The following is a 22,575-nucleotide window of genomic DNA, read 5'->3' as shown; positions in this document are numbered from 1 at the left end:
ATATGACATGTGGTATTCAACTTTATTCTTCTGAGTTCTTTAACTTAAGATAGTGGCCTACAGTTTCATCCATGCTACTGGAAAATACATAATTTCATTCCTTGTCTATTATTGAGTAGTAATTAAATGTGTATATGTACATACACATGTATAGTGTGTGTATGTGTGGGGATGTGTGTGTACATATATGTATATGTATGAACATATACGACTGTTTCCTTTATCTAATCATTTACTAATAGAAACTTAGTTTGGTACCATGTATTTGCTATTGTGAATAGAGCAGCAATAAACATATAAATGCAGGCATCTATCTGATATAATAATTTATCTTCCCTTGGGTAGATACCCAGTAGTGGGACTGCTGAATGAAATATTAGTTCCAATATTAATTATTTGCAAAATCTCCATACTGTTTTCCATAGAGCTTATAGTAATTTACATTTCCACTAGCAGTGTATAAGCACTCCTGCTTCTCTGCATCCTTACTAGCATCTGTTTTTTGTTTTGTTCCATTTTTCTTTTTGACTGTTTTAATAGTAGCTTTTCTGACTGGTATAAGATGGTATCTCACTGTGTCTTTAAATTGCATTTTTCTGATGATTAATGTCATTGATTATTTTTTCATATGCTGGTTGATGATTTTTTTGTCTTTTGAAAAATAAACATTGTAGTAATTTGCTCATTTTTAATGTGGTTATTTGTGGGTTTTTGTGTTGCTTTTGTTTCTTGTAGTTTGTAAATATTAGCTCTTTGTCAGATACAGAGTTTAAAAATAGTTTATCCCATTCTGTACGCTTTCGGTTAAGTTTTTTGATTATTTGTTTTGCTGTTCAGATGCTTTGCTTCTTATTTGTATTAAGTCCAAATGGTCTATTTCGGTTTTTATTGTTTACTTTTAAGGTTGTAGTCATGAATTCTTTGCCTAGGACAATCTCCAGAACAATATTTCCTAGAATAGCATCTGCAACTTTCAGACTCTCAGGTCTCCCAGTTAAGTCTTTTATCCATATTGGCTTAATTTTGGATATAGTGAGAGATACGGGTCCAGTTTTATTCTGCTGCAAATGGCTGTTCAGTTTTTCCTGCACAATTTATATAACAAGGTGACCTGTTCCCAGTGTATGCTTCTTGTCTAGTTTTTCACAGTCAGTTTGGCTGCAGGCATTTGACTTTATTTATGAAATGTCTATTCTGTTCCACTCATCTATGGCTTTCTGCTAGATTGTTACTTGATTGTTACTTGTGTATAATAATGCTACTGGTTTTTGTATGCTTTTTTCATTTATTCTAAAACTTTACTGAATTAACTCATCAATTCTAGGAGTATTTTGAAAGAATATTAGTTTTTTTAAGTACAAAATCATATTATCAGCAAACACAAAGAGTTTGACTTCCTCTTTTCCAATTTGAGTGCCTTTATTTCTTTCTCTTGCCTAATTTCTCTGGCTAGGATTTCAAGTTCCATATTGATTAAGAGTGGTGAAAGTGGGCATCCTTGACGTGTTCTGAGTCTTAGGAGGAATACTTTCAACATATTCCTATTCAGTATAATGTTGTTTCGGAGTTTGAAGGTGATTTATGGAGAATGAGAGATGTTGAGTGCGAGTGGACATGAGTGAGAGAAACAGTAGATATGTGTGGCCGTTTCTGACCAGGGTGTCTCTGTGTTTGCAGGCGTCCAGCGTGAGGCGCAGCTGGTGGAGTCTGGGGGAGGCTTGGTACAGCCTGGGTGGGTCCCCGAGACTCTCATTTGCAGCTTCTAGATTCACCTTCAGTGACTTCTGAATGCACTGGATCCGCCAGGCTTCTGGGAAAGGGCTGGAGTGGGTTGGCCGTATTAGAACCAAACGTAACAGTTACACGACAGAATGCGCTGCATCTGTGAAAGGCAGGTTCACCATCTCAAGAGATGATTCAAAGAACACACTGTATCTGCAAGTGAATACCCTGAAAACCGAGTACACGGCCATCTATTACTGTACTAGAGACAGTGAGGGGGAGGTTAACGTAGGCCCATACACAAATCTCCCTGCAGGGGCGCGCAGGGCCAACTGGGGGCGCTCGGGACCCACTGAGGATGGGACAGGTCCCAGGGGCGGGTGCAGGGGGAGGTTTCCTTTCTCAGCTGCAGGAGGCGGGTTTGTTTTTGCAGGAATATGGAGTCTTATGAGGTTTTGATATTTTACTATGGTTATTTATCATGATTTTTTAAAATTGGGATTTGTGTTTTAGTAATTTTTAAATTTATATGTAGGGGTATTTTTAAAAATTAAGTTTTAGGGTACATGTGCACAACGTGCAGGTTTGTTACATATGTATACATGTGCCATGTTGGTGTGCTGCACCCATTAACTCGTCACTTAACATTAGGTATATCTCCTAATGCTATCCCTCCCCCCTCCCCCCACCTCACAACAGGCCCCGGTGTGTGTTCCCCTTCCTGTGTCCATGTGTTCTCATTGTTCAATTCCCACCTATGAGTGAGAGCATGCGGTGTTTAGTTTTTTGTGATTGCAATAGTTTGCTGAGAATGATGGTTTCCAGCTTCATCCATGTCCCTACAAAGGACATGAACTTATCATTTTTTATGGCTGCATAGTATTCCATGGTGTATATGTGCCACATTTTCTTAGTCCAGTCTATCATTGTTGGACATTTGGGTTGGTTCCAAGTTTTTGCTATTGTGAATAGTGCCACAATAAACATATGTGTGCATGTGTCTTTATAGCAGCATGATTTATAATCCTTTGGGTATATACCCAGTAATGGGATTGCTGGGTCAAATGGTTATTTCTAGTTCAAGATCCCTGTGGAATCGCCACACTGACTTCCACAATGGTTGAACTAGTTTATAGTCCCACCAACAGTGTAAAAGTGTTCCCTATTTCTCCACATCCTCTCCAGCACCTGTTGTTTCCTGACCTTTTAATGATTGCCATTCTAACTGGTGTGAGATGGTATCTCATTGTGGTTTTGATTTGCATTTCTCTGTACCCTAAAACTTAAAGAATAAAAAAAATCCTTCAAAAATAATTCTTCCTAATAATATGCACTTATTCTCCTAGGTTGTATTAACATCTGTTGATATCTTCAACTACATAGCTATGGCGACATTAATTTACATCTGTAGACATATGTGTAAATACACAAACTTATGCATACATGTCTAGTCTTTTATATTTAATATAATAAAATCATTATAAAATATGTCCTAATGAATGAAACTTAATGATTAACTAAATATAAATTATAGTAATCCATTATTCATTGCAATGATTCTCTATAGTTTACATAAATTGGTATCTATTTGTAAGCTTAAATATAGTGTATTGGTCATTTTAAAATGGCCAAGAACAAATTTCAAATGTCCCTGTCACACAAACACACACAATAAGGATTTGAGGATTTGAGTTGATATATATGTCAATTAGCTAGATTCAGTTATTCCATATTGCATTCATAAATCATAACATAGCTTTGCACTCTATAAATACATAGTCAAAATTTCTCAATTTTCAATGAAATTTTAATTATACATTTTTTAATCCGTCCTAGGTCATGATTTTTTTCTCCCTGTCAGGATATGATTAGATTGTCCTGAGAAACTCATTCAGCCTCCTGCCTCCTGAAGGCTTCAAAGGCTTCAGGAAGTAAGCTCCTGGATGGGCAGAAGCAGGCAAATCTTTCATGTGCACAGGACCTGGAGCATCTCTCTTTGGATTAAGCCCCCTCCTCAGGATTACAGGGCTCTTCATTTTTCTCAACAGGCTGTTGTACCAGATAAGCACAAAAACTTAATTTCATTATGCTTTGCTTTTTTTAAAAAAAAAAAATGAAGGTAATAATTTTAACAATAAACATATTACAACCTGCTACACATGAGACCCTTCTTGTGCTTCGACCTTTCTTCTCAGGAGTTTATATGTATTACATATATTCAGTTTTTTTCTGAGTTGGAATGCTTATTACAGATTATTCCCCTTATTACAGATTACTCTTTTAATTTATCTCTTAGAATGATTTTTCGAGAGCCCCTGCCTGCCCGCGCCTGGTGGAATGGAGCGGCGCCTGGGCTGAGCCAGGCGCGCAGGGGCCTCCGCACGTGCCGCGCCGGTAGCAGACGCCAAGCGGGCGGACAGTGAGCGTGAGAGGCCGGGTCGGAGTGGCCGCCGGAGCAGTGCCGGGGATGGAAGAACAGCCCATCTTCACCACCGGAGCACAGGTCTTCCAGATTGACCCCAACACCAAAAAGCACTGGATGCCTGCGAGCAACAGGCGGTCACCGTTTCTTACTTCTATGATGTCACAAGGAACATCTATGGGATCGTCAGTGTGGACGGAGCCAAGGTGACCATAAACAGCACAATCACACCGAATATGACCTTCACCAATGTGTCACAGACGTCTGGGCAGTGGGCCGACAGCAGAGCCAACACGGTGTTTGGTTTGGGGTTTTCCTCTGAGCAGCAGCTGACAAAGTTTGCAGAGAAATTCCAGGAGGTGGAGGAAGCGGCCAAGACAGCCAAAGACAAGACCCAGGAGAACATGGAGCCCTCGAGTAATAATCCCGAGAATCCGGGCATGGAGCCCCATCTTCTACTCCGGCATCCAGTGTCAACGGGACGGACGATGAAAGGCCTCTCAGGCCGCTGCAGCTGACACGCACCTGCAGTCTGGGAACCACAAGCTGAAGGCGGCCTCGACGCAGAGAGCTGCCCACGGGAAGAGGTGGGAGATGGAGCTGCAGATCCGGCGGGAGAGCGACGCCCGGCTGCCCACGGCGCTGCAGGAGTCGGTGGCCAGCGTGGAGCAGAGGAAGAGGCCGTGAGATCCACAGAGAGGAGAAGAACACGCAGCTGAAGAGGAAGATCGAGGAGCTGGAGGCGGAGCTCCGAGAAAACGAGAAAGAGTGGAAGTCCCCAAAAGCAAAGTAAAACTACTCCTCAGCTCAGGTGAGTGCAACTGTGTCTCTGAGAAGATGGAGGCGGCAGAGAGAGGATCAAAACCTGGAAGACAAAGTGCGTTCCCTGAAGAGAGACACTGAGGAGAGCAAATCCAGACAGCGCCACCTGGGGGTGGAGGTGAAGAGTTTCCCGGAGGTGCTGGACCGGAAGATCCACAACCTGCCTGACTTCCGCCCAGGCCTTGCATACTGTGCACCAATAACTAGGGCTGGCCGAGGCCCAGGCCCCTCCTGTGAGTCCCAAGCGTGTGTGCGAGACCAGATGGCGCTAGGACGTTCCCTGTGTGCGTTGCTTCTGTAAATGCAGGCGCAGTTTCTTGTATTTCCAAACCAACTGTGCCGTCCACTCACCCCTTCCCAGAATAGAAATCTCTTGTCCAGGCACAGTGTCTCACGCCTGTAATCCCAGCACTTTGGGAGGTCGAAGCGCGGGAGGATCACGAGGTCAGGAGACCGAGAGCATCTTGGCCAACATGGTGAAACCCTCCCTGTCTGTACTAAAATACAAAAAATTAGCCAGGCTTGGTGGCAAGCACCTGTAGTCCCACCTACTTGGGAGGCTGGTGCAGGGGAATCGCTTGAACCAGGAGAGAGAGTTTGCTGTGAGCCGAGATCGCACCACTGTCCTCCAGCCTGGGCAACAGAGCGAGACTCCATCTCAAAAAAAAAAAAAAAAGAAAAAGAAAAATTTCCTCTCGCTTCTCTGGCCTTGTGAGGTTGTGGACAACTGGAAGATTTTGACTCAGGAATCCAGAACTAGGTCTACCTTCAACATTTACACAGTCAGGCCAGGGATGTTTATATTTTTCATAAGGGCTGTTGAAACCATATGAACTGAAAAAAAGCACTTTCTAATCCAAATATTGATATTCTTTACACCAGGTCATCGGGCTCCTTTTATCGAATAGCATTCAGGGTATTTGAATGTCCATCAGGCGCCAGGCCCAGGGGGCACAGGGAGAACAACATTCCTCTCCGTCAATAACGAGAGGCTTTAAAACAACTGTTTAGTGGAGACTTATCGAGATGGCAAACAGGTTTCTGGTGGGTACATTTTCTGGCCTGGGGATCACCTGCATCCACGATATTGCCCTCTGCCCCCCAGTTTGTATGGTTGCGACAATGTTCCTTTTCTTGGTTTTAATTTCTGAGCGGATGATTGTGGTGCGGGAACAGCACACAGTGAGGGTGCCTAGCACAATGCCTGGTGCAAAGTAGGTTTTTTATAAACGTTTGTGCGGCTCACACCTGTAATCCCAGCAATTTGGGAGGCTGAAGCAGGCGGATCACCTGGGGTCGGGAGTTCGAGACCAGCCTGACCAACATGGAGAAACCTCTTCTTTACTAAAAATATGAAAAAAAAAATAGCCGGGAGTGGTGCATGCCTTTAATCTCAGCTACTCGGGAGGCTGAGGCAGGAGAATCACTTGATACCGGGAGGCAGAGGTTGCAGTGAGTGGAGATCGTGCCATTGCACTCCAGCCTGGGCAACAAAAGTGAAATTCCGTCTCAAAAAAATTTTTTTCTAAAGCCCCACTCAAAACCAGGGTATTATTAGCAGTGTAATAGTTGGACCACAGTTGAAAATACATTCAATTCAGTTCATGTGCTCTCAAATATCCTTTTTCGTTTTAAAGTTGTTCTCAGTTGTAATATTACTCAAAATATTAGTAATTTATACTAATGACACAGGTTACAATATTGTATACATAATTTAGTGACATTTGATTGGAAAAAATACATGTTCCCCATGTCTTGAGTATTTTTTCCTTCTCTATAAAATGTATGCTTATAATTATTTAAGTTTCAGATGCTAGCATTATCTTTTTGATATCTGGGATTTAATTTTAGTAGGTATACTGGAATGCCTTTTATTAATTCATATAATAATGTTCATATTTTAGATAGGATTTTAATATTAATTTTACTATTTACTGAATTTCAAACTTTTCTACTTTTTTTGTTTTTATGAGATAAAATTCACACATAAGAAAAAATGCATAGATCTGAAATGTGTCACTAGAGAGTTTCTGGCAAATGTGAATACCTTTGTCCCCAGCACCTAAGGTAGCCTGAAGAGCAAGTCTCTCCCCAAAACATGCGTCTTTTTCTATGCCTGTGGTCAAATCCTGCATGGGGAAAGGTTTCGATTTCTGACACTATAGATGTATTTTATTCTGCTTTGAACTTTATATAAATGGAATCAAACATTATAGACTTTTTTTGGTAAGGGGCTACTTTTCTATTTTTGAGGTTAATTCATGCTAGCTAATGTATAAAATTAGATCAACATATTGTCGTTTATTCAATTCATAGACAGACTGTGATATGAACCACCAAAATTTTCATGTACATGGAAAGAGAGAGAGAGAAAGAGAGGAAGCAGAGATATTTTATATCTGAGTCAGTCCATTAAGTAAATAAATGACAATATTTTCATTTATTTTTATGTCAGTGGACTTTAAATTTGTGTCCAGTTTATGAATATTATATGCAGAGCTGTTACAAATAGCTTAGTGTAAGTTTTCTGATGTTCTATTTTTATTGAGAAAATATGAAGTATGTATTTCTTTATTCTAAGAGTAAGTTTAATTTTTTTCAGTGGTATTGAGGCATAATTGAAATATTTTTATAATATATATGTTTAAGGTGCACCAATTGATGTTTTGATATTGTATTAGTCCATTCTAACACTGCTATAAAGAAATGCCTGAGGCTGAGGTGGGCGGATCATGAGGTCAGGAGATCGAGACCATCCTGGCTAACACGGTGAAACCCCGTCTCTACTAAAAATACAAAAAGTTAGCTGGGCGTGGTGGCAGGTGCCTGTAGTCCCAGTACTCCGGAGGCTGAGGCAGGAGAATGGCGTGAACCTGGGAGGTGGAGCTTGCAGTGAGCTGAGATTGCACCACTGCACTCCACTCCAGCCTGGGCGACAGAGCGAAACTCTGTCAAAAAAAAAAAAAAAAAAAAAAAAAGCTTGAGACTGAGTAATTTGGAAAAAAAAAAAGATGTAAGATGTTTAATTGACTTGTGAGAACTCAACTCATGCATTGTCATGAAAACAGCACCAGGAGTCAGTTCTAAACCATTCATGAAGGACCCACGCCATGACCCAGTCACCTCCAACCAGGTCACACTTCCACAATTGAGGATTATAATACGACGTGAGATTTGGGGTAGGACACAGATCCAAAGCATATCAGATATACATTGTAAAATGCTCATCATAGTCAAGGTAATTTGCATATCCATCTTCTCACAGAGCTACCGTTTAATTTTTTTTAAATGTAGAGCTTGTGTGTGTATGTGTGTCTGATAACAACACCTAAGACCTACTCTTAGCAAAAATCACTTTTACAATATAGTATTAAATACAGGAACATTGCTGTGCATTAGATCTCCAGAAATGATTCAGCTTGCACAACTGAAACTCTGTGCCCTTTGACCGATATCACCCAATTTCCCTCTCCTCCCAGGTCGTGGGACCCAGTACTCTACTCGCTGCTATCAAGAACTTGGATATTTTAGATCCTACATGCAGATGACATCGTGAAGCATTTGTCTTTCGGCATCTGGCTTATTCCACTTAGCACCATGTCCTCTAGCTCCATCCGTGTTGTTGCAAATGTCAGAATTTCCTTTTTTTTTTTGAAAGCCAAATGAAATTCAGTTTATATATATACATTTTCTTTATACAGTCATCAATCTATGGTCATTAAATTCTTTCACAAATCTACACTATTATAAATAATCTTGCAATTAACATGTATTTGACATCATAATTTTATTTCCTTTGACGATATAACAAGAAGTGGGATCACCAGGTCATATGATAGCTTTATTTTTCAATTTATTGACTAACCAATCTTACCATACGATATAAGGATACCCTCTTCACCACATTCTTGCCAACATTTGTTATCTTTTGTCTTGCTGATAATAACCATTTTAAGTGGTGTGAGGTGATATCTCATTGGGCTTTTTATTTGAATTCCCCTGATAATTAGGAATGTTGAGTACCTTTTTAGGATCTGTTTTTCATCTGTGGGTCTTCTGAAAAAAAATCTAACCAGGTTTTTGCCCTCTGTATTAGGTCAGTTGATATTTGCTGTTGAGTTGTATGGTTAATTTATATATTTGGGTGGAACTTCTTGTTAGATATATAATTGCACATAGTTTTTTTTACTGTGCTTGCTTTTGGTATTAAATTCAAATAATTTCTGAATCAATGACGAATATTTTTCCATGTTGTCTATGATTTATGGTTTCAGGTTATGTTCATTTTTAGTTGATTTTTGTATATGGTGTTAGAGAAGGTCTAGTTTCATTTCATTTTTTTTTTGCACATGCATGACCATTTTCTACACCATTGATTGAGGAGACTGTCCTTTCTTCACTGTGTGTTCTTGGCATACAAAATTAGGAAGACACATAATTAAAAAAGAAAACATCAGATGAATATTCCTGGTGAACATAGACCTAAAAGTTCTGAGCAAAATACTAGCAAATAGAATCCAGAAGCACTTTAAAATGTGATACATCATGATCAAGTAGGCTTTACCCCTGGAAGGCAAGTTTCATTCAACATCCAAAAATCAGTAACTGATTCACTATGTAAGCAAAATAAAAGCGAAAAACATAGATTATCTCAATAGATGCTGAGAAAGCTTTTAATAGCATCCAACATCCACTCATAATAAAAACCCTCAACAGACTAGGCATCAGAAAAATATACCTCGAAATTATAAGAGCTATCTATGACAAACCACAGTCAACATCATACTGAATAAGCAAAAGTTCAAACCCCTTGAGAATTGAAAAAAGACAAGGATGCCGTCTCACCACTCCTATTGAACATAGTATTAGAAATCCTAGTCCGAGGAACCAGGCAATAACAAAAATAAAAGGCAGCTGATATGGTTTGGATTTGTGTCCCCACCCAAATAGCATGTCGAATTGTAACCACCAATGTTGGAGGTGGCGTCTGGTAAAGGATGATTAGATCATGGGGATGTGTTTTCCTCTCTCATGCTGTTCTCCTGACAGAGCTCTCAGGAGATCTGGTTTCAAAGTGTGTGGTACCTCTCCCTTATCTCTTCCTCCTGCTGCAGCCATGTAAGACATGATGTTTCCCATTCTGTCATGATTGTCAGGTTCCCCAGGCCTCCCCAGCCATGCTTCCTGTACAGCCTGCAGAACCATGAATTAAATTAAATTAAAGAATTAAATATCTTTATAAATTACTCACTCCTGTGTGTTTCTTTGTAGTGTGAGAATGGACTAATGCAGCATCCAAATGGGAAAAGAATGCAATGTATCTGTCCAAACTGATGATAAAATTCTATACCTATAAAATTCTAAAGACTCTGACAAAATAATTCAAGAGAGATAAACAACTTTGGTAAAGTCTCAGGATACAAAAATCAATGTACAAAAGTCTCCAGCATTTCTATATCCCAACCACATCCAAGCTGAGAGTGAAATCAAGAACACGATCCTGTCCCACTTACAATGCTCACAAAAAATGAAGTGCCTGAAAATACAGGTAAAAAACAAGGTGAAAACTGTATAAGGAGAACTACCAAACACAGCAGAAAGAAATCACAAATGACAGAAATAAATGTGAAAACATTTCATACTCATGGATTGGAAGAATTGATATTGTAAAAATTGTCATACTGCCCAAAGCAATTTACAGATTCAATGCTATTTACATAAAACTCTCACCAGCATTCTTCAGATAAATAGAAAAAAAATTCTAAAATTTATATGGAATAAAAAAAAGACCCTGAATAGCCACAGCAATCCTAAGCAAAAAGAACAATGCCAGAGGCATCATGGTACTGAATTTAAACTACACCATAAAGTCATGGTAACAAAAACAGCTTGGTACTGGTAAAAGGGCAGACATGCAGAAAAAGTGGAACAAAAGAGAAAGCAGAAATAAAGCTGCATGCTTGCAACCATCTGATATTTGATAAGGCTGACAAAACAAGCAATGGGGAAAAAACTCTATTCAATAAATGGATTCTGGCAGATATGCAGAATGCAAGAGTGAAGGAGGTTGGGCAGCTTCTACCTAGATTTCAGAAGATGTGCATGGAGAACCCTATATGCCAAGGAAGAAGCCTGCTGCAGGAGTGGAGCCACCACAGACAGTGTCTATTAGGACAATACCAAAGATGGGGAAAGATGGGGTCGGAACCCCCATTCAGAGTCCCCACTAGGGCACTTCATAGTAAAGCTGTGGGAATGTGGCCACAACCCTCAAGATCCCAGAATGGTAGAGTCAAAGGCAGCTTGTCCTCTCAGCCTGGAAAACCTTCTGGCACTTGACTCTAACCTGTGAAAGCAGCACCATGGGCTGTGCCCAGCTACAGGGATGATATTCCTGAGGTTTTTGGGACCCCCTTTGTCCTAGTGTGCCCTGGTGGAAGTACATAAAGTCAAGAGAGACTATTTTGTAGCTTTAAGATTTAATATCTGCCTTACTAGGCTTTAGGTGTGTCTAGAGCCTGTTGGCAGTTCCTTTGGCCAATTTATTCCTTTTGTATTGACAATATTTACCCAATTCCTGTGGCACTATTGCACCTTGGAAGTAAACAACTGTTTAAAACTTTTTTTTTTTTTTTTTGAGACGGAGTCTTGCTCTGTCGCCCAGGCTGGTGTGCAGTGGCGCGATCTCGGCTCACCGCAACCCCTGTCTCCTGGCTTCACTGCCTCAGCCTCCCGAGTAGCTGGGATTACAGGCGCTCATCACCACGCCCGACTAATTTTTGTATTTTTAGTAGAGACAGGGTTTCACTGTATTAGCCAGGATGGTCTTGATCTCCTGACTTCGTGATCCACCCGCCTCGGCCTCCCAAAGTGCTGGGATTACAGGCGTGAGCTGCCACGCCCAGCCTGTTTAAAACATTTTGCAAGCTCATAGCTGCAGAGAAATTGCCTTAAGACTCAGAGGAGACTTTGGTATTTTCAGTCGGAGGTTGACCAAGTGAAGAGTTTGGTCACTATTAAAAAAACTATTAAAAAAAAGATGACTTTGCAATCTAAGAAGGACATGAGATCAGGACACAAGAGTAAAATGGTATAGTTTAGATGATGGTCCCTGCTAAATCTCAAGGTGAAATGTGATTCACAGCATTTGCGGTGGGGCCGACTGGGAGGTTTTGAGACATGGGGAAAGATCCTTCAGGAATGGCTTGGTATCCACCCCATGGTAATTAGTGAATTATTTCTGTATTATCTACTGTGAGATCTGATTTTCAAAATAATCTAGCAACCATCCTCCCCTTTCATGTCCTCCCTCTCACCATGTAACACAGCCTGTTTCCCCTTTGCCTTCCACCATGACTGTAAGCTTTCTGAGGCCATCACATGATGCAGATGCTGATGCCATGCTTCTCACTTAGCCTGCAGAACTATCAGCCAAATAAGCCAAATAGACTAGTACACTGTCCAAAGCAATATACAGATTCAATGCAATTTCTATTAAGTAACCAATATAATTGATTACATATTTTAAAAAACCATAAAATTTATATGGAATCAAAAAAGAGCTTGAACATCAAAAGCAACCCTAAGGAAAAGTAACAAAGCTGGAAGCACCACATTGCCGGACTTCAAATTATACTACACAGATATAATAAGAATGACATCATCGTAGTGACAAAAAATAAAAATTGATGTAACACAACAGACAGCCCAGAAATAAAGCCAAATATCTACGACCACCTGTTATTTGACAAAACTGACAAAAAATATACACTGGAGAAACAACCCTTTATTCAATAAGTGGTGCTTGGAAAATTGGGCAGCCACACAAAGAAGAATAAAACCAGACTTCTATCTCACAATAGACAAAAATTAAGTGAATATGGATTCAACACTTAAAAATATAAACTGAATCTACAAAAATACTTGAAGAAAATGCAAAAAAAAAGTTCTCTGGACATTGGCCTAGGCAAATAAAACATGACTAAGATTTCAAAAGCAAATGCAATGAAAACACAGACAAACAGGACTTAAGTAAAAATCTTCTGCACAGAAAAAGAAATAATCAACATGGTGAGTAAACAACCTGCAGGATGGTAGAAGGTATCATCTCACCTCAGTTAACATGGCTCATATTAAACACACACACACACACACACACACACACACACACAAACAAAACACTAACCAATGCTCGTAAGGATACAGAGAAAAGAAAACTCTTATGCATTGTTGAGGAGAATGTAAACTAGTACAGTCACTATGGAGAGCAGTGTGGAGGTACCTCAAAAAACTACAAATAGAACTACCGTATGATCCAGCAATTCCACTACTGCAAATTTATCCAAAGGAATGAAAATCATTGTATCAGAGAATTCTGCACCCCAGTGTATGTGGCAGGACCTTTCACAATAGCCAAGATATGGAATCAACACAGGTGTTGAACACAAGAGAATAATGGTTAAAGATGATGTGGTGCATATACATGACGAAGTACTCATCAGCCATAAGAAATGAAATCATGTTGTTTGTGGCAATGAGGATGGAACTGGAGGACATTATGTTAAATGAACTAAGCCAGGGACAGAAAGTAATACACCTTGTTTTCTCACTCATAGGTGGATACTTAAAAAAAAATGGTCTCCTAGAAGTAAAGAATAGAACAGAGGATACCAGACGCTGGGAAGGGTAGGGTAAAGGACGAGATAGGCAGAGATTTGTTAAATAATACAAAATTAGAGCTAGGGAGGAGGAATAGATTATAATGATCTTTACCACTGTAGGATGGATACGGTTAACAATAATATGTAGTTTTAAATAGTTAGAAGAAGGATACTGAGTGTTCCTAACAAAAAGAAATGGTTTGAGATGATGGATGTGCTAATTACCCTAATCTGACCCCTATGCATTATATGTATCAAAACATCACTATGTACCTCATGAATAGTTACAATTATTGTCTATTAAAATTATATTTTAAAATAACACAAAATTCATTGGCAGTGACATAAATGGAGGCTCTGGGATAGGTGTGGGGATAAAGGGAGGCTCTGGGATACATTACAGGCCTAACATGTCAGTGGGCAGAGGAGCTTCCATTAGCTTTTTCTATTTGTAGCACTGAGTAGATGTGACATTTCTCAAAGTTTGCCCTACAATAGAGACCTGAGTTCCAGGGAGGTCTTGCAGGCAGCTGTGCAGATGGAAGAAGCAGGAGTAGAGGGTTGCTGGCCCATTCAACAATAGTAGGATGATTATTGTGCATGTAGAGAAGTCAACATTGTTTTAAGTAGTTGCATCACTGGATGACATGAAAAACAAATCCAGTGGAAATCCTTAAATATTATTGGTAGTGAAACTGTTTTGGGTGAGGAAATGTTCACTGAAGTTAAGTGAGCCAGTAAAGCTGTTAAGAACTATAAAAACATTGGATTGGATTCAGCTTTGTCTGAATTTAATGTGATTATTACTGGCTCAGGCAGGGGTCACAAATCAAGATGGATAGGTGGTACCAACCAGAAAAAGCCATGGACCAGAAAGATTCACAGCTGAATTTATTCGGATGTATAAAGAAGAGTTGCTACCAATCCTAGTGAAACTATTCCCCAAAAATTAGGATAAGGGACTCCTCCCTAAATTATTCTGTGAGACCAGCATTATTCTGATAACAAAACCTGGCAGAGACTAAAAAAAAAGATAACTTTGGGCCAATATTCATGATGCAAAAATGCTCAATGAAATACTAGCAAACTGACCACAGCAGCACATCAAAAAGCTAATCCACCATGATCAAGTAGACTTTGTTCCTAGGATGCAAGGTTGGTTCATATACGCAAATCAGTAAGTGTGATTCGTCTCATAAACAGAACTAAAAACAAAACCATGCTATCAATGGACATAGAAAAGGTATTCAATGAAATTTAACATTGTTTCATATCCAAAACCCTCAACTAGGCATGAAGAAACATACCTCAAAATAATAACCATCTATCATGAACCCACAGCCAAAATCATACTGAATGGGCAAAAGCTGGAAGCAGTTTTCCCTGAAAACTGGAACAAGAAAAGCATTCCCACTCTAACCACTCCTGTTCATCATAGTCATGGAGGTCCCAGCCAGAGCGTGCAGGCAAGAGAAAGAAAAGCATCAGAACCGGAAGAGAGGATGTCAAACCATCTCTGTAGATGAAATGATCATAATCCCGAGTCTGTAGTTTGGTGATTGACATTAATTTGGAAAAATTGTCAGTCATCATTGCTTTAAATATTTCTTCTTAACCTTTCTCTGTTCCTTCTCTTTCCCATGTTATACCCTTATAATTGTCTCACAATTCTTGGATAAGCTGTTCTGGTTTCTTATGGGTGTGTATTTGTGTACTTGTATGTTTGTGTGTGTATTTGTGTGTTTACTTTTTAAAAAAAATATTTCTCCATTTTCAGTTTGGGACATTGCTACTGAGATATTTTTAATTTCAGATTTTTTTCCTCAGCCATGCTGCGTCTACATATAAGTCCATTGAAAGCATTGCTTAATTCTGTTACAATATTCTTGATATCTACATTTTTTTGCTTTTTAAGAGTTTGCATATTTCGACTTGCATAACACAACTGTTCCTGGATGCCCTCTGCTTAACTCATCACAGCCCTTAGCATATGAGTTATAGCGGGGTCTTAAATTCCTTGTTTGGTAATTCCAACTTACATGACGTAGCTGAGTCTCATTCTAATGCTTGTTCTGTCTCATTACACTGTGATATTTTTCTTTTAGTATGTCTCGTGATTTTTTTAGCCAGAAATTATGTACCAGGTAAAAGAAACTGCTGTAAAGAGGCCTTTAGCGATGTCATTGTAAGATGTGGAGAGAAATGTGTTCCATAATCCTACGGCCATGGCTTACTCTAGCAAGCTTAGGCCTTTGAAAATAAACCCTTACATGAAAGTGAAAACATAAGTCTTAGATTTGGAGAATTTGCTTGCAAATCAAATATTTGGAAAATGACTTTTATCACAAATGTACAAATTACCTTACAATTGAACAACAACAAAACCACACAAATTAATTTTAAAATGGGCAAAGATCTGAATAGAAATCGCATCTAAAAATAAATATAAAGAGATCAACTTCATTTTCATTAGGTATATGCATGTTTAATATTCAAAAAATACTACTATCTTATGAGGATGGGTAAAATACACAATATAGATAATACCAAATGGTGATGAGGAAGTTGAAAAACAGGAACATTCACTCTTTGCTGGTGGTAATGCTGAAATGGCACATAGACATGTACAGTTAATAATTTAGTGTATATTACAAAACAGCTAGAAGAGAAGATTTAGAATTGTTAACACAAAGAAATAATCAATGATGGAGATGAAAGATATACCAGTTATCCAGATTTAATCACTGCATATAATAATCTTTTATCAAAATATATACCCCATAAAGATTTTGAACTCATGTATCTATATAAATTAGGTATTAAAAAACAGCAATGCAGGGGAATCCAGCTAATTGCACATTCCCTGAATGTACCCTTTCTTGTCAAAAAGGAGTTCCAGAGACTCTTGAAAACGTAGTGCAGTTCATGTGAGAAATAGAGGTTCAGAAATGCCTCATTATACCCTCCTCCCTTTGGAATTCAAGCACAACTAACCAGTATTTTTCATTAAAACAGATCTTAAGACTCAGAAAACAGATTCTTTGCAGCAGTAAGATACCAAATTCTAACCTGACTCAAGAATAGGATCACATGACAGAGAGCAGACCTTGAAAAGAATCAAAGACTTTTACCCTAAAATATATTTATTTGACATATTTTAAAATCACCCTGCACAGTTATCTTTTGAGAGAGAAATTTACGTTCTGTAGCGAATCTCCTTCCCTTTCCAGGTCTAGTTGTTAGATTAGCTGAGAGTCTAGCATCTTTTAAATGTCATAGTAGAAAACATTTGCTATCTACTGCCTCTAACGGTGGCCACATAAGAGAATTCATCTACATAATAAGAATCTTGTTCTCCAAAACCCGTTATCCTAACCTATGTAGGGAAAAGAGAGATCAGACTGTTACTCTATGTAGAAAAGGAAGACGTAAGAAACTCCATTTTGATCTGTACCCTGAAGAATTGTTTTGCCTTGAGATGCTGTTAATCTGTAACTTTTGCCCCAACCTTGTGCTCACAGAAACATATGTTGTATGGAATCAAAGTTTAAGGGATCTAGGGCTGTGCAGGATGTGCCTTGTTAACAATATGTTTACAGGCAGTATGCTTGGTAAAAGTCATCACCATTCTCCATTCTTGATTAACCAAGGGTAACAATGCAGTGCAGAAAGCCACAGGGACCTCTGCCCAGGGAAGCCGGGTATTGTCCAACATTTCTCCCCACTGAGACAGCCTAAGATATGGCCTCGTGGGATGGAAAAGACCTGACCGTCCCCCAGCCTGACAACCGTGAAGGGTCTATGCTGAGGAGGATTAGTAAAAGAGGAAGGCCTCTGTCTCCTGCATGTCCCTGGGAATGGAATGTCTCGGTATAAAACCCAATTGTACATTTGTTCTATTCTGAGATAGGAGAAAACCACCCTGTGGCTGGAGGTGAGACATGTTGGCAGCAATGCTCCTCTGTTACTCTTTACTACACTGAGATGTTAGGGTGGAGAGAAGCATAAATCTGGCCTATGTGCACATCCAGCGATAGTACCTTCCCTTGAACTTATTTGTGACACAGATTCCTTTGCTCACACGTTTTCTTGCTGCCCTTCTCCCCACTATCACCCTGTTCTGCCACATTCCCCTTGCTGAGATAGTGAAAATAATAATCAATAAATACTGAGGGAACTCAGAGACCGGTGCCGGTGTGGGTCCTCCGTATGCTGAGCACCGGTCCCCTGTGCCTACTGTTCTTTCTCTATACTTTGTCTCTGTGTCTTATTTCTTTTCTCAGTCTCTCATCCCACCTGACGAGAAATACCCACAGTTGTGGAGGGGCTGGCCCCCTTCAAACACAGAAACGTTTTTCTACTGATTTCAGCTCTTTAAATAAAAAGTTAAGTCTTTCAATCAGAAAATCTTTGAATTCACCTGTAAGCTGTAATCCCCTCCCCACACTGCCTCACTTGTAGCTCTTTTATCTTTATGAAACAAATCGACACATGTCTCATATGTATTGACTGATGTCTTTCTCTCTAAGACATTAAATTTAAGCTGCAATCAAGCCACTTTGGGCACACGTTCTCAAGATCTTCTGGGGCTGTGTCACAGGGCATGGTCCTCACATTTGGCTCGAATAAATCTAAATATTTTGCAAAGTTGACTTTTTCATTAATAGTTCTTACAGAACCTACTCTGTGCTCTTTGTTACAAGCATAAAATCAATATAGTATTAGTTATAATAGTATTGGGTATACCACATATTGGCAATTTCTTATGAAGTTAGGCATAGACTAACAATGGGATCAAGTGTAAATGTTTTAATGTATTTATGCAAGTTATTTTGATATTTATGTTCTGCAGATACTTCTATCAGATTTATTATATCAGCTAATTATTTGTTTTATGATTTTTTGCATTTTTTGTAGATGATAACACCATATCTTTTCTAGGCCTTTATTGTAGAAAATTGTGTGAAACTACTCAGGACTACATTTGAAAGTCCTTATTGCAGTGGCTGCCAGAATTGAAGTACATTTCCTCTGTAGCCACCAGACACCCAGATTCCTCCAGTAACACCTTAATTTTGTTTCCTGCTTGGCTTTGGGCTTTAGTCTTGTGCTATCCAGAGAGACTCTGTCTTTCAAATCCCCCAGGTCATTCTAAAGCCACATGGACCGGACAATTGTCAATGTGGTGGGAAGGGTCGCACTGAACGGGCACTCTCTGTCCTTCTGAGGGAGCCATACTGCAGGCAGACATCACAGTCCTGGCTCAGGTTGTGTCCTTCCAAGTATCCCTGCCCTCCTGCAGGTGTGATGCTGATCCATGCATCTTCCTCCCATTCCTGGGTAGAGGGTCTCCTTGTTTTTTCCCAGATCTTCTTCCAGCAGCCACTATACTATGTCTTCCCACTGATGTCTTCAGCTTCCTCTTTTCTGCCCTTCCCAGCAGGATGAGGCTTTTATTCCTGAAGAAAGAGAGAGGAGGTGGGAGATGAGGCTGTTATTCCTGAGAGAATGAACAGGGCTTTGGAGCTTTTCTTTCTTCTATCCCAGTTTCTATGAGTTCCTCCAGTACCAGTAACACAAAGGTGTTAGTGGCTTTGCCCCTGCATGTTAATTCTTTAGCAATGTAGTGGTGACAGTGGAGGTGGGTCTGGATGCATTTCAGCTGCAGTTGCTGTTTTTCTTTCCAGCACAGAACCATCTTGGGAGCTACAGGGAAGAGCTTTTTGTAATGTGTCCTCAATCCTGGGAGAAAAGTTTTCAATAGCAATAGGAATCTCTCAGTTGTATGTTCTCTGAGAATTTAAACAATAACTTATTTATTATACTCAATTTTAAACAATGTAATAAATATGTCTAATTTAATCTTGCATTAGCTTATGTGACATTTGCTGGCCATTGCCCCAGATAAGGCCATTTTCTCTTCCTGTTTATCCCTGCAAGTGACTGACTTTTGCAAGATGTAAGGTTTCTTGTTTGCCCTATAACATCAATAATCTGAAATATTAAAGAAAATGTGCTAATTTGCAGATCAGTAAGGTTAGTTGTTTCTGTAAAAATATATATGTTTTTTTGAGATGGAGTCTTGCTCTGTCACCATGCTGGAGTGCAGTCGTGCGAACTTGGCTCACTGCAACCTCCGCCCCCTTGGTTCAAGCGATTCTCCTGCATCAGCCTCCATAGTAGCTGGGACTACAGGAGTCTTGGCCTCCAAAAGTGCTGGGATTTCTGGCATAAGCCATCGCACCCAGCCAAAAATAATATATTTTAAGGGGTGCATACATCTCCAGGCTGAGTAGGAGATTTATTTGTAGTACTCAGTAACTGGAATTTACACAACTATTAAGGAGCATTATAAATAAATAGTAAGGGTGCACTCATTAACTGTAATACTGTTCCTCATTAGAATCAACACATTCTTTAGTTCATGTCCTTTGCAGGGACATGGATGAAGCTGGAAACCATCATAGTCAGAAAACTATCACAGGGACAGGAAACCAAACACCGCATGTTCTCACTCATAAGTGGGATCTGAACAGTGAGAACACATGGACACAGGGAGGGGAATGTCACACACCAGGGCCTGTCGGGGTGGGGAGCAAGGGGAGGGACAGCATTAGGAGAAATACCTAATGTAGATGACAGGTTGATGAGTGCAGCAAACCAGCATGGCACATGTATATCTATGTAACAAACCTGCACGTTCTCCACATGCATCTCAGAACTTAAAGTATAATTTTAAAAACACATTATTTATATAGAACCAAATTACTGGCTCACAAGTAATTATACTGTGCAGAAAACCACACAAATGAAATTGAAACTATAAGATTTCACTTGAACAAAATCTTGAAAAATAGATCTAAAGTAACAAAGATGACTGACTCAATATGGTGAGAGGAAAATGACTGGGAGGCAGGAATGAGAGGAACACAGGGAAGCTTTTAAGTGTAATTCATTGGTATCTTGATTGTTATTTGGGATGCACAGGTGAGCACATGTGTAATAACATTTTTTTCCTTTGGAGACATTTTCTTGCTTTGTCATCCAGGCTGGAGCTCCGTGGTGACATCATAGCTCTCTGCAGCCTCAGACCCTGGGTCTCCAGCAATCCTCCTCCCTCTGCCCTATCTAGCTGGGACTACAGCTGTGCACCACCATGCTCGGCTTCAGTGCTTATTCAACCAGACACTTTAATTATGCAGTATTTATTACGTGGCAATAATGCCTCAATAAGGGTATTGCAAATAAGTGGATGGATAATTTGTTCAATTAAGATTGATGGAAATATAGACACTTACATGACAAATGTATGACAATCAAGAAAATAAAACTGTAGGAAACATACTTTACTTTTTGTTAGGTAATCGCAACAGTGCATACACATCACACCATGTTCTCATTACAGAGAAAAGGTTCTGCAAACCTCACTTGGTGTGACCTCCTGTATGCTGGGCTTGGTTCAGGGAGAAGTCAGGACCAGTGGTTAGAAGCACGGGCCCAGATAACCAGACTCCCTCTGACCAAATGTGAGTGCTGGGGACATTGTACAATCCATCTGTGTTTTGCTGATATTTTTTCATCTGTAACATGGAAATAACATTGATACTACATACCATGGTTTCTGTGCATATGGAAAAATAAAAGATGATAGGTGCAAACTTTAAATACACACAGTTTATGTAGATCAATTGTACCTCAATAAAACTGTTTTAAAATAAAAATTACAAAACTATAAATTTTATAGGTTTTAAGGGTTTATCATAGAACAAACTTACAATAAGAAACCAGAATTTCCAAATGCTATCAATATCACAAATCTCCCCCAGGACACTCTCACATGCTCTGAGCCCCACTCTCTCCTCAGGCGTCCCATCCCAGAGCTTGGCATGTATTAGGAGACATGCAAATAGGGCCCTCCCTCTGCTTATGAAAACCAGCCCAGCCCTGACCCTGCAGCTGTGGGAGAGGAGCCCCAGCCCTGGGATTTTCAGGTGCTTTCATTTTGTGATCAGGACTGAACACAGAGGATTCACCATGGAGTCATGGCTGAGCTGGGTTTTTCTTGCCGCTATTTTAAAAGGTAATTCATTGAGAACTATTGAAATTGAGTGTGAGTGGATAAGAGTGAGATAAACAGTGGATTTGTGTGGAAGTTTCTGACCAGGGTTTCTTTTTGTTTGCAGGTGTCCAGTGTGAGGTGCAGCTGGTGGAGTCTGGGGGAGGCTTGGTCCAGCCTGGGGGGTCCCTGAGACTCTCCTGTGCAGCCTCAGGATTCTCCTTTAGTAGCTATGGCATGAGCTGGGTCCGCCAGGCTCCAGGGAAGGGGCTGGACTGAGTGGCACATATCTGGAATGATGGAAGTCAGAAATACTATGCAGACTCTGTGAAGGGCCGATTCACAATCTCCAGAGACAATTCTAAGAGCATGCTCTATCTGCAAATGGACAGTCTGAAAGCTAAGGACACGGCCATGTATTACTGTACCAGACACAGTGAGAGGAAGTCCGTGTGAGCCCAGACACAAACCTCCCTGCAGGGGCACGCGGGGCCACCAGAGGGTGCCCAGGATCCCCTGAAGACAGGGACAGCCCAAAGGCAGGTGCAGATGGATGTCAAGAGGGTCTGTGGCTTCGTCTACATCTAACTGTTTCCTGGTGAGCCTCTGTATATTTATTTTTCTGTGCCCACTAATGAGGTTGCTAAGTTTAAACACTTTTTTTTTTGAGATGAAGTCTCGTGCTTGTGCCCCAGGCTGGAGTGCAATGGCATGATCTCAGCTCACTGCAACATCCGCCTCATGAATTCAAGCGATTTTCCTGCCTCAGCCTCCCAAGTAGCTGGGATTCCAGACAACTGCCACCACGCCCGGCTAATTTTTGTATTTTTAGTAGAGACAGGGTTTCACCATGTTGGCCAGGCTAGTCTCGAACTCCTGACCTCAGGAGACCC

At 40.1% G+C, this 22,575-nt stretch overlaps 1 long non-coding RNA gene, 3 pseudogenes and 1 further gene across 1 annotated transcript in view; 4 read left to right on the top strand and 1 right to left on the bottom strand.

Annotated features, from left to right (window-relative positions):
- Positions 1–22,575, top strand: part of IGH (immunoglobulin heavy locus) — a 1,293,408-nt gene that overhangs the window by 414,600 nt on the left and 856,233 nt on the right.
- IGHV3-42 (immunoglobulin heavy variable 3-42 (pseudogene)) lies at positions 1,557–1,991 on the top strand (annotated as a pseudogene). The gene is given in 2 exon segments: positions 1,557–1,574; positions 1,678–1,991. Coding segments are annotated over 2 exon segments (332 nt in total).
- On the top strand, positions 3,939–6,303 carry HOMER2P1 (HOMER2 pseudogene 1; annotated as a pseudogene).
- LOC124903400 (uncharacterized) overlaps positions 18,558–22,575 on the bottom strand; it is a 45,163-nt gene continuing 41,145 nt past the window's right edge. The window contains exon 2 of the long non-coding RNA XR_007064371.1: positions 18,558–19,085. This is a non-coding gene — a long non-coding RNA (uncharacterized LOC124903400). The remainder of the gene's footprint in view (positions 19,086–22,575) is intronic.
- On the top strand, positions 21,661–22,116 carry IGHV3-41 (immunoglobulin heavy variable 3-41 (pseudogene); annotated as a pseudogene). Its single transcript is given in 2 exon segments — positions 21,661–21,706; positions 21,810–22,116. Coding segments are annotated over 2 exon segments (353 nt in total).

The sequence above is a fragment of the Homo sapiens genome, chromosome 14 (genome assembly GCF_000001405.40).
Source record: "Homo sapiens chromosome 14, GRCh38.p14 Primary Assembly".
In the NCBI taxonomy this organism is placed as follows: domain Eukaryota; kingdom Metazoa; phylum Chordata; class Mammalia; order Primates; family Hominidae; genus Homo; species Homo sapiens.
The sequence above is the reverse complement of the archived record's forward strand: the minus strand, read 5'-3'. Positions and strand labels throughout refer to the sequence as shown.